General features: G+C 42.8%; 1 protein-coding gene and 1 long non-coding RNA gene across 23 annotated transcripts in view, besides 1 other annotated feature; one reads left to right on the forward strand and one right to left on the reverse strand.

Annotated features, from left to right (window-relative positions):
• On the forward strand, positions 4842–5551 carry LOC112268048 (uncharacterized). Its single transcript, XR_002956919.2, has 2 exons — positions 4842–4988; positions 5447–5551. It is a non-coding gene; the product is annotated as an uncharacterized LOC112268048 (long non-coding RNA).
• Positions 5600–12961, reverse strand: part of IARS1 (isoleucyl-tRNA synthetase 1) — an 83491-nt gene continuing 76129 nt past the window's right edge. For all 22 annotated transcript variants that reach the window (NR_073446.2, NM_001378573.1, NM_001378583.1 and 19 more), the window contains one exon: positions 5600–6282. Coding sequence is in view for 21 of the 22 variants with exons in the window: in NM_001378573.1 (NP_001365502.1) it covers positions 6200–6282 (83 nt within the window). In the remaining variant the exon portion in view is untranslated. The remainder of the gene's footprint in view (positions 6283–12961) is intronic.
• Positions 9768–10664: an enhancer, noted in NCBI's record as "NANOG-H3K27ac-H3K4me1 hESC enhancer chr9:94976657-94977553 (GRCh37/hg19 assembly coordinates)". NCBI's record gives its function as "activates a minimal SCP1, AML or CMV promoter by ChIP-STARR-seq in primed H9 embryonic stem cells {active_cell/tissue: H9 hESC(primed)}" and the evidence as "EXISTENCE:reporter gene assay evidence [ECO:0000049][PMID:30033119]".

Consider the following 12961-nt stretch of genomic DNA (forward strand, 5'->3'; position numbering starts at 1 on the left):
CGGCCTACAGGTTTTCTTTATTATCTCTAAGGAATGTTTTGTAGTTTTCAGTATACAAGCACTATACATCTTTGGTCAAATTTATCTCTGAGTATTCCATATTTTAGGATACTATTGCAATAGGGTTTTTGTTTGTTTGTTTGTTTGTTTTTGAGATGGAGTCTCGCTCTGTTGTCAGGCTGGAGTGCAGTGGTGCGATCCTGGCTCAGTGCAACCTCCACCTCCCGGGTTCAAGCAATTCCTGCCTTAGCCTCCCGAGTAGCTGGGACTACAGGCGTGCGCCACCATGCCTGGCTAATTTTTGTATTTTTAGTAGAGACAGGATTTCACCATGTTGGCCAGGATGGTTTTGATCTCTTGACCTCATGATCTGCCCGCCTCGGCCTCCCAAAGTGCTGGAATTATAGACGTGAGCCACTGTGCCCAGCCTACAATAGGTTTTTAATTTCAGTTTCTGACACTTATTAAAAATGAACTTCTATATCTTCAGATTTATAAAAAAGATGCAAATACAGCTGATATACTCACACGCAGTTTACCTGATCACTAACATCTTACATTATTATAGTTTATTGATCTCATTTTGTTTGTGCAGATATTGTTTACCTGATTTTGTGTGTTCTTTGTAGCTCACTGAACATCTTTAAGATGATTACTTTGAATTCTGTCAGACAACTAATAGATCTCCATCGTTTCTGTTTTTTTCTTTTTTCTTTTTTTTGACACATGGTCTTAATGTGTCACCCAGGCTGGAGTGCAGCGGCATAATCATGGCTCATTGCAGCTCGACCTGCCAGGCTCAGGTTATCCACCTGCCTCGGTCTCCCAAGTAAGTAGCGGGGACTACAGGCACATGCTACCACATCTAGCTAATTGTATTTTATTATTTATTATTTATTTTATTATTTTTTCTAGAGACAGGGTCTCTCTATGTTGCCCAGGCTGGTCTTGAACTCCTGGGCTCAAGTGATCCTCCCTCCTCAGTCTCCCAAAGTGCTGGGATTAGAGGTGTTGAGCCACTTTGCCTGGTGATCTCCATTTCTTTAGGGTTAGTTTCTAGAGATTTATTTGTTCCTTTGATAGGGCCATGTTTCCCTGTTTCATGGTATGCCTTGTGATTTTTTTTTTTTTTTGAGACAGAGTTTTGCTCTTGTCCCCAAAGCTGGAGTGCAATGGTGCGATCTTGGCTCACTGCACCCTTCGCCTCCTGGGTTCAAGAGATTCTCTTGCCTCAGTCTCCCGAGTAGCTGGGATTATGGCGCCCTCCACCACGTCCAGCTAATTTTTGTATTTTTAGTACAGATGGGGTTTCACCATGTTGGCCAGGCTGGTCTCGAACTCCTGACCTCAGGTGATCTGCCCGCCTCGGCCTCCCAAAGTGTTGGGATTATAGGCATGAACCACCACACCCAGCCGTTTTTTTTTTTTAAAGACAGGGTCTGGGCTGGGGTACAGTGGCTTGATCACGGCTCACTGCAGCCTCAAACTCCTGGGCGCAGGCAATTCTCCTGCTTCAGCCTCCCCAGTAGCTGGGATAACAGGCATGCACCACCACAGCTGGCTAATTTTTTAAATTATTTGTAAAGATGAGGTCTCTCTGTGTTGCCCAGGCTGGTCTTGAACTCCTGGATTCAAGTGATCCTCCTGCCTTGGTCTCCCAAAGTGCTGGGATTACAGGCATGAGCCATTGTGTCCGGCCACCTGCTAATCTTTTGTTGAGATTTGGGCATCTGAAAAAACAGCCATCTCTCTTAGCCTTTATAGACTGGCTTTGTAAAAAGGAACAGCATTACAAATTAGTTTAGCTGGAGATCTTGGGGACCTCTTGAATCTTTTCTAGCGATGTATCTTCTCTGGGTTTGTCTGTGCAATTTCCTGAAGAGGTTTGCCCCTGTGTCTTTTTAAGGAACTCATAATTTCTTGCTCCCCTTGGTATCTGTTTATGATACTAGTTCCTGCAGTGCTGTAACAAGGCTATAGGTCTCACATTTGTTCTCAGCAGCCCCTAGTCATCCAAAGTATGACACTGTTCCTGTCAGTGCTCTGAGTCACATGAACAGAAATCAGTCCTTTGGTCAGCCCCACTATAAGCCAGAACATGGGACATACATTCCACTCTACTCTTTCCCTCTTGAGAAGGAAGGTGCAAGTGGGAGGTATCTCCAGATTGTGCTGCACTGTGCTTGGTACTGGGAGAACCTATGGTATGCAAATGTAATGGACTTTCTCACCTGCTTCAAATCAGCTCTTCTTGCTTCTACGTTCACCTGGGGTACTGCAACTTTTAAACTGATTTCTGAAAAATTCTCACAAAGGCAGTTTGGTCCGTATATTGTTAAGTCAGTGTCTCTATGGGAGAATGAGGGCCTGGGGCTTATTTATTTTTTTATTTTTTGAGATGGAATCTTGCTCTGTCGCCCAGGCTGGAGTGCAGTGGTGCGACCTTGACTCACTGCAACCTCTGCCTGCCGGGTTCAAGCAATTCTCCTGCCTCAGCCTCCTGAGTAGCTGGGATTACAGGCATGTGCCACCACGCCCGGCTAATTTTTGTATTTTTAGTAGAGATGGGGTTTCACCATGTTGGCCAGGCTAGTCTCAAACTTCTGACCTCATGATCCACCACCTCAGCCTCTCAAAGTGCTGGGATTACAGGTGTGAGCCACCACGCCCAGCAGGGCTTACTATTAATATTTTGCCATCTTGCTGATGTCACTCACCACTGTTTTTTGATCACTTTACTTTCTGTTACTACAAGATGTTTCAGATTCATATCGTACATTCCCAGCTCCAGCTCTAGAAGCAGCCATTTTTTTCCCAGGGAAACCTAGTTCCCTTCATGGGAGAATGGTTTTAGGAACCACGACCTCAGTGGGGTTGCTGCAGCTTGGTAGAGTACACTACCAATAACTCCCTGAGAAAGAGTACATGGGAGATAATTTTTTTTTGAGACCTAACTCATGTCTGAAAATGTCTTTATTCTACCTTCATACTTGTTTGATAATTTGGTTGGGTACAATATAGTTAGAAAACTTTCCCCAAAGAATTGGGGAGATTCTCTTCTTACTGTGTTGCTGAGAAATCAAATCCTTACTAAATTGTTCTGTGCTCCCAGAGGTTGAAAAGAAAAATCCTTACTAACTGCTAATCTTTTGTATATCCCTTTTGCTTTTTTCTTTCTAGAAACTTAGTCTTTTCTTTATGTTCTGAAATTTCTGTTATGTGCCTTGGAAGTGAGTCTATTTTCATGCATTGTGCTAGACATTTGAAGATATCTTTTTTTTTTTTGAGGCGGAGTCACGCTCTGTCACCCAGGCTGGAGTGCAGTGGCACGACCTCAGCTCACTGCAAGCTCCGCCTCCCAGGTTCACGCCAGTCTCCTGCCCCAGCCTCCCGAGTAGCTGGGACTACGGGCGCCTGCCACCACGCCCGGCTAAATGTTTTGTATTTTTAGTAGAGACAAGGTTTCACCATGTTAGCCAGGATGGTCTTGATCTCCTGTCCTCGTGATCCGTCCACCTCGGCCTCCCAAAGTGCTGGGATTACAGGCATGAGCCACCGTGTTCGGCCAAAGATATCTTTCAATCTGGCTGTAGGTTCTGCAAAATTTGTTTACATTAATTATAATTTTCTGACCTTATTTTTCTTCTTTCTGGAATTCCTACAATTTGGATACTGGAACTCCTGGACTCTAACTTATGTATAATATCTCTTTTCTCCCACCTTAAATATTTATTGTTAATCTATCTAGTGTCTGGAAAATTTCACACTATTTTCCAATGATTTTTTTTCTTTTCTATTAAGTCTTATATTAACAGGAACATTTTTTTCTCCTCTTGAGATTTTCATGTTTTGTAGCATCGTTATTTTACAGATGTAGTATCTTATAACTCTAAGGATATTAACACATTTGGCAGGGGGAATTTTCTTCTCACTGCATTGCTTGATTCCTCAAAGTTGTTTTGGTACTCTCTTTTGGTTTTGGATTAGAGGCTTTCACTAGATCTCTCGTAATTCTAGATGGAAGTCTCATGAATAAGAGTTGGGGGCTAAAACACTGACCTGAGTATGGACTTCTCAACTTCAAAGTTAATTGTTCAGAGTGAGCCTTTTTCCCAGCCAATACTTGGTGTCAATCTTTTATATTCTTCTTTGGTATAGTGGACAGTATACATAAAGCCACTTAATCTTGTTTCCAGTACAGTACTCTGTATAAAGGAATTTGGCCTTGCCCTTGGATGTTATGCTACATAGGAATGCCTCTGTTTACCTGGGGATCTTGAATCATACTGAATAGCCTTGACAGTATGATTTATGGCTGGGGTGGGACAAATCTATACAGTCTTATGGTGGGGGGGGTGTACAACACATCAGAAATACCAACAATGTGATTTAGGGTGGAGGTTTTGGGTCATGCACGAGCAGCTGACCTAGAGACTGCGATTAACCACATGGACAATCAATCATGGATATGTAAAGCAGCCTCAGTAAACACTCTGGGTTCCAAGGCTTGGGTGAGCTTCCCTGGCTGGCAATACTCTGTGCATACTGTCACACACTGATGCCAGTAGAGTAATGCTTGCTGACTTCAGAGAGACAGGACAAGAGCTGTGTTTGGTACTTCTCCCGGGCTCTGCCCTCTCCTCTTCCTTTGGCTGATTTTGATCTTTAACATTTCCCTGTCATTAACTGTAACCACGAATACAATAGCTTTCATTGAGTTCTGAGTCTTTCTAGCAAATTATCTAAGCTGAGGGTTGGTTTTAGGAATCCTCCAGGCTTACAAGTACTCTTGTCTTCCATTCACTCCGACTTCTACCAACCAGTCACTTTTTACCTTCCAGATGCCAACTGTGGGGGGAATAAAGTTGCTTAGCAACGTGGAAATGGGAGAAGCTATAAGGCTTCCCAGTGTTCACGCAATCGTCCCTATTTCTGTGCCTCTTCTACCTTTCATCCCAGAGGTTAACTGGTGCTGTGAATTCTGAAATGTAAGTAAGTTTATCAGTTCCTCCATTGATTTAGAATTGGGGTTTCCTGGGTCTACCAAGTTAGTTAACACCGTCTATCTGCTTTCCAATTCCCCAAGTTCTGGTTGTTTCCTCTATTTTCTCCAACTTGTGGGTTTTTGTGTGAATGCATCTGTTGTAGTAGCCATAGGGATGTATCATTCAGATCTCCCTTCAAAAGAATCTGACATGAGGAGTGTAGTTGGTACTTTCAGATCCATCAAGGCATTTGTGCGAAGGCCACGCTCCCCTTGGTCTCCTCCCAGAAACTGACTTGAGGAAGTCAGAGAAACAAAGCCAGGCTATTTCTGCCCAATTCTGAACTCTACTAAAAGGAATCCTTGCTTGGGAACTCTCCATTGGCCTGACCAAGACTTCATCTTAGAGTTGCACTGCAGTCTAAGTTTTTGCTAATCAATCTTCATTTTCTCTTTTTACAGGTGTCAGACCCACACTGCAGTCTGAAGGCTCTCTCGACCTACGCTTGCTCCATCTCCCGTTTATCCTCCATTTATGTTTCCTCTAATAAATTCTTGCACATCTAACTTTGTCATGTCATCTGCTTCTCTGAGGACTCAAATTATCACCTGGGATTTTGGAAAGAAGTTTTATTAGATGTCTAGTCCACTGTCTTAATAAGAAACCACCATGAAGTTTTTATGTTCTTCAAAGTTTACACATTTCAAGTTTCATTTATCTATGGGAGAATGAATTACTTTCAACACATTTATATCTGAGTTTGTTTATTGTTCTGATTTACTGAAACTTAAAATATTCCATCAAATTATCCAGGAAAATCCAGGTGGCAGAAATATATAATATGTCCATTTCATCAAGAGGTCTCAAATAAATTTTAAAAGGCCAGAAAATGATATATATACTATGCCATTTAAATCACTTCTATCTTCTGTACTTAAGAACTCAAGTATAGAAATAAACTGTGGGCTGAAGTAACATTGTAACCTGCTCCCAACATGACTGCATAGGTGTCTAAGGTTAAGTGTGAAGATTACTGTGAGGTCTCAAGTTACTTGACTAATCAATCCCATTTGAATTTCAATCCAAGCAGCATATTTTACACACACCTGAAGGAAATATCTTCAGTGTGTTCATGTGTGTGTCTATGTGCATGTATGTGTAGGGGATAGGTGTAATTAGGGAAGGGCTGACCGAACAACATTGATAAGTACATGCTAGAAGTCTGCTGTTGTTGGTAACACAGAAACATACACAGTCTTCATATTCAAAGTCTTCACGGGGATGTCTTCTGTAATTTCTAGAATGGAAAGAAAAAGTTGAAAAAAAATCAGTATTTTACCTATTGGGGGTGAATATTTAAAAAAATGTTAACTGCTTGTGTAGTAAGGAATTTGGCCTTATCCTAAGAGTTCTGCCTTTTGTCCCAGCTCCTGAGGTGAACCTCTAAATCCTTGGAATTTCCTGGTAGGAATCTTTGTTTCTCATGGTGGGTATGTTCACCAAACCTGACAGTTGTTGCTAATGAGACAATTCAGGGTAGTGCTGGCCAGGACAGAAAGACCAAGTATATGATTTAGGATGGGGACTTTGGGTCACATGGTATATCAGTTGAGAAAGACAGCAATCATGCCTACAGAATGAAACCTCAACAGAAACTGGACACCAAGGCTCGAGTGAGCTTCCCTGGTTGGTAATATAGTCTCTGTGTTGTCAGATGTAAGGGATGAGAGGAAGAAACATTATCCATGACTCCAGGGTCTCTCTCTCTCTCTCACTCTCGCTGGTTCTAACGTGTATCCTTTCCCTACCCTAATTCAAACCATGAGTGTAATACCTTTTAGTGAGTCTGAGTCCTCCTAGCAGGTTACTGAACCTGAGGGTGGTTTAGGAAAATCCCTGGAACTTGCAGTTGGTGCCAGCAGTGATGGGGGTCTTGTGTGGATCTTTCCCTGAGTAGAATCCTCACTCCTTGCAGGTGGAGTTAGATATCGGGCAGACTCCTGGAGCCTTCTGGAGGACTATGCCATCACTTCACAGTTTGGCTAACTCTGGGTACTGCCAAGATGGTTATTTTTCCTCATACACAGATACTTCCTATGTCTACAAAAAAAGCCTAGAGGCTGTGCCAACTCAGTATCCCAGATATGTGGTTTCAAAATATGATTCTCTATAATTTGAAGAACAGCTATTTTCTACGTCTGGAGAAGTAAAAGTACATAATAAGCCTAGGACATGTTGCTACGTGAGAAAGCAAGAATTTACCAAAGACAAAGGATCATGTTAAAGAATACAGGATCCAATATGGCCAATGACGAAAACTCTGAGCATCCAAAAATATAACCCAAATGCAATTGATTGAAATATACTGAATATACAACTCAAAAACAAAAAAAAAGAAAATTTAAAGTTATCTGCCTACTGTGGAGCATTTTGCTTCTAGTCAGATCTGAATTTAAAGCAAACAGATGAGCTTCCTTTAAAAATAGCTCTTGTCCTACCTAGCAGCAATCCTAGATGTGAGAATACTCTCAAAGCTACTTCCTTAATAGATAATTACAGGACCTGGAGATGATGTTTAGAGTTTAGTGGAGCAAGCAAGAAGACATCTAAGGGTTTCTAAAATGGTCAACATTTTGTGGCTCTTCTAATTTACCAAGTTATTGATACTTTATGAAAGACAATTCTGAGAGAAAAGGCATAATGAAAACGAAGCTATAGATACTAGATTGGAAAGATACTGAATTAGAAAAAGTTCCAACTTTGTGGTAATCTTAGATAAATCACTAAACATTTAAAAGTTCTCACCCACTAAACTTTTGCCTAACTAACGTCACAGAGTAAAGAGAATACAGAAAGGCAGCACAGGTTAAGAATGGTTCTGTGAATTGCAGGTAGTATTATAAATACATAATTCATACAGACATGGTTCTACCCCTGACCAGGTTCAATCATGCCACTGCATTTGCTTGCAAGAACAAGTGAGAGATAAATGTCATCTTCAGCTCCACTGCACAACAGTACTTGGTGACCAAAGGATTTGAGGGACAAGAAGAGTTAAGAATTATCTCTAAAGTTTTATATAAGCTTATCAAAATAGAAAGCTACATTATTAGATGATCTTTACTACCATACCACAATGAAAGAGCCAAGTGTGTTCGAGGGAGAGTGAAAAAAGCCTTTGATAGAGTGAAAGACTCATGGACAGAATTAGCAAGACAGGGAAGGCCCAGAGCAGGAAGGATCTTGTGTGGAAGGGAAGATTCTGAGGCATAAGAGAATAAGGAGCTTTGGGGGCTCTAAGCAAGGGAACAAAATCAAGGCAGGAATGTTCATGAAGATAGCTCTGGTGAAGAGTACAGACTGCAGACTGGTGACTTAGATGGATGATGAGGCCCAATGATGAGATGAGAGGGAAAACGACAAAGGAGAGTCACTGAAAATAAACCCAGGGAGGGAAGGAGGAACCCAAGAAGAAATAGAGCTTTAGTATTTAACATCATGACAGAAAATTTAAAAGTACGATATGCAACTAAATTTAAAAAAAAAAGCTGCACAGGAAGAAAACGGGAGAATTACACAGAGGCCAAAAATAATGACTCCCATGGGGTCTGGTGGCTTAATGCTTTTGGCACTAAAGAGCTAGGAAAGCAGGGAAAGAAAAGCCTCCGGTATATACAAACCGGGAAGTCCAACAAATCTCTGCTGAAGAAACTGGAACTTCAAATAAGAAACCCATAGCAAAAGGGTTAATTTGAGTAAGTTCCTTCACCACAAGAGAAAAAGTGAAGAGAATGTAATCGGTTAATAATGGCCTTCCAAAGATATGCCCAGGTTCTAAATTCCCAGGAGCTGTGAATGTTCACTTTATTTGGAAAAAGAGGAAACAGAAGAGAAGGAGGCAATGTGACCACGGAGTCAGAGACTGAAGTGATGTGGCCACAAGTCAAGGGATGCCTGGCGCCACCATAAGCTAGAAGAAGTATATAAGGAATTCTCCCACAGAGCCTTCAGAGAGACTGTGGCCTTTCTGACACCCTAATTTCAGTGTCTGGCCTCCAGAGCTGTGAGATGACTTGAGCCATCCCATTTGTGGAAATTTGTTGCAGCAGCCACAGAAACCAATACAGAGAAAATCACCTCACTTAGCTTTGTTTTGGAGTAGGGATAGACAGATCCTGTCTCCATCACAACTCCTGGCCTTTGTGTATGACTGGGAATGCCATAGATTTTTTTTCTGAGATGGAGTTTAACTCTTGTCGCCCAGGCTGGAGTGCAGTGATGCAATCTCAGCACACTGCAACCTCTGCCTCCCAGGTTCAAGAGATTCTCCTGCCTCAGCCTCCCAAGTAGCTGGGATTACAGGCATGTGCCACCATGTCCAGCTAATTTTAGTAGAGATGGGGTTTCACCATATTGGCCATGCTGGTCTTGAACTCTGCCCACCTCAGCCTCCCAAAGTGCTGGGATTACACGAGTGAGCCACCACGCAGACCCAGTCACAGCTTTCTTAACATTCTCCCTATGGTCCAAAATGATTGAGTTTAAAGTGTGTCTGGGTTGTCAGTGTCTCCAAGGAACTAGACGTATGCTTCTTAAAACTGGGCTTCAACAGAAACATAACAGAACAAGCAGAGCAGACGGGCAATGTAAACAGAAAGACGGAAACTCAAAGAATAGAATGGTCTGGGTGTGGTGGCTCACCCCCGTAATCCCAGCACTTTGGGAGGCCCAAGTGGGTGGATCACCTGAGGTCAGGAGTTTGAGACCAGCCTGGCCAACATGGTGAAACCCTGTCTCTACTAAAATTACAAAAATTGGGGGAGGAGCCAAGATGGCCAAATAGGAACAGCTCCGGTCTACAACTCCCAGGGTGAGCGATGCAGAAGACAGTGATTTCTGAATTTCCATCTGAGGTACCGGGTTCATCTCACTAGGGAGTGCCAGACAGTGGGCGCAGGTCAGTGGGTGCACGCACCGTGCGCGAGCCGAAGCAGGGCGAGGCATTGCCTCACTTGGGAAGTGCAAGGGGTCAGGGAGTTCCCTTTCCGAGTCAAAGAAAGGGGTGACGGACGGCACCTGGAAAATTGGGTCACTCCCACCCGAATACTGCGCTTTTCCGATGGGCTTAAAAAACGGCGCACCACGAGATTATACCCCGCACCTAGCTCGGAGGGTCCTACGCCCACGGAGTCTCGCTGATTGCTAGCATAGCAGTCTGAGATCAAACTGCAAGGCGGCAGCAAGGCTGGGGGAGGGGCGCCCGCCATTGCCCAGGCTTGCTTAGGTAAACAAAGCAGCCGGGAAGCTCGAATTGGGTGGAGCCCACCACAGCTCAAGGAGGCCTGCATGCCTCTGTAGGCTCCACCTCTGGGGGCAGGGCACAGACAAACAAAAAGACAGCAGTAACCTCTGCAGACTTAAATGTCCCTGTCTGACAGCTTTGAAGAGAGCAGTGGTTCTCCCAGCATGCAGCTGGAGATCTGAGAACGGGCAGACTGCCTCCTCAAGTGGGTCCCTGACCCCTGACCCCCGAGCAGCCTATCTGGGAGGCACCCCCCAGCAGGGGCACACTGATACCTCACACGGCAGGGTATTCCAACAGACTTGCAGTTGAGGGTCCTGTCTGTCAGAAGGAAAACTAACAAACAGAAAGGACATCCACACCAAAAACCCATCTGTACGTCACCATCATCAAAGACCAAAAGTAGATAAAACCACAAAGATGGGGAAAAAACAGAACAGAAAAACTGGAAACTCTAAAAAGCAGAGTGCCTCTCCTCCTCCAAAGGAACACAGTTCCTCACCAGCAACGGAACAAAGCTGGATGGAGAATGACTTTGACGAGCTGAGAGAAGAGGGCTTCAGACGATCAAATTACTCTGAGCTATGGGAGGACATACAAACCAAAGGCAAAGAAGTTGAAAACTTTGAAAAAAATTTAGAAGAATGTATAACTAGAATAACCAATACAGAGAAGTGCTTAAAGGAGCTGATGGAGCTGAAAACCAAGGCTCGAGAACTACGTGAAGAATGCAGAAGCCTCAGGAGCCGATGCGATCAACTGGAAGAAAGAATATCAGCGATGGAAGATGAAATGAATGAAATGAAGCGAGAAGGGAAGTTTAGAGAAAAAAGAATAAAACGAAATGAGTAAAGCCTCCAAGAAATATGGGACTATGTGAAAAGACCAAATCTACGTCTGACTGGTGTACCTGAAAGTGATGGGGAGAATGGAACCAAGTTGGAAAACACTCTGCAGGATATTATCCAGGAGAACTTCCCCTATCTAGCGAGGCAGGCCAACGTTCAGATTCAGGAAATACAGAGAACGCCACAAAGATACTCCTCGAGAAGAGCAACTCCAAGACACATAATTGTCAGATTCACCAAAGTTGAAATGAAGGAAAAAATGTTAAGGGCAGCCAGAGAGAAAGGTCGGGTTACCCACAAAGGGAAGCCCATCAGACTAACAGCAGATCTCTCGGCAGAAACCCTACAAGCCAGAAGAGAGTGGGGGCCAATATTCAACATTCTTAAAGAAAAGAATTTTCAACCCAGAATTTCATATCCAGCCAAACTAAGCTTCATAAGAGAAGGAGAAATAAAATACTTTACAGACAAGCAAATGCTGAGAGATTTTGTCACCACCAGGCCTGCCCTAAAAGAGCTCCTGAAGGAAGCGCTAAACATGGAAAGGAACAACCGGTACCAGCTGCTGCAAAATCATGCCAAAATGTAAAGACCATCGAGACTAGGAAGAAACTACATCAACTAACGAGCAAAATAAACAGCTAACATCATAATGACAGGATCAAATTCACACATAACAATATTAACTTTAAATGTAAATGGACTAAATGCTCCAATTAAAAGACACAGACTGGCAAATTGGATAAAGAGTCAAGACCCATCAGTGTGCTGTATTCAGGAAACCCATCTCATGTGCAGAGACACACATAGGCTCAAAATAAAAGGATGGAGGAAGATCTACCAAGCAAATGGAAAACAAAAAAAGGCAGGGGTTGCAATCCTAGTCTCGGATAAAACAGACTTTAAACCAACAAAGATCAAAAGAGACAAAGAAGGCCATTACATAATGGTAAAGGGATCAATTCAACAAGAAGAGCTAACTATCCTAAATATATATGCACCCAATACAGGAGCACCCAGATTCATAAAGCAAGTCCTGAGTGACCTACAAAGAGACTTAGACTCCCACACATTAATAATGGGAGACTTTAACACCCCACTGTCAACATTAGACAGATCAACGAGACAGAAAGTCAACAAGGATACCCAGGAATTGAACTCAGCTCTGCACCAAGCGGACCTAGTAGACATCTACAGAACTCTCCACCCCAAATTAACAGAATATACATTTTTTTCAGCACCACACCACACCTATTCCAAAATTGACCACATACTTGGAAGTAAAGCTCTCCTCAGCAAATGTAAAAGAACAGAAATTATAACAAACTGTCTCTCAGACCACAGTGCAATCAAACTAGAACTCAGGATTAAGAATCTCACTCAAAACCGCTCAACTACATGGAAACTGAACAACCTGCTCCTGAATGACTAATGGGTACATAACAAAATGAAGGCAGAAATAAAGATGTTCTTTGAAACCAATGAGAACAAAGACACAACATACCAGAATCTCTGAGACGCATTCAAAGCAGTGTGTAGAGGGAAATTTATAGCACTAAATGCCCACAAGAGAAAGCAGGAAAGATCCAAAATTGACACCCTAACATCACAATTAAAAGAACTAGAAAAGCAAGAGCAAACACATTCAAAAGCTAGCAGAAGGCAAGAAATAACTAAAATCAGAGCAGAACTGAAGGAAATAGAGACACAAAAAACCCTTCAAAAAATTAATGAATCCAGGAGCTGGTTTTTTGAAAGGATCAACAAAATTGACAGACCACTAGCAAGACTAATAAAGAAAAAAAGAGAGCAGAATCAAATAGACG

Source organism: Homo sapiens, chromosome 9, assembly GCF_000001405.40.
Source record: "Homo sapiens chromosome 9, GRCh38.p14 Primary Assembly".
Classification (NCBI taxonomy): domain Eukaryota; kingdom Metazoa; phylum Chordata; class Mammalia; order Primates; family Hominidae; genus Homo; species Homo sapiens.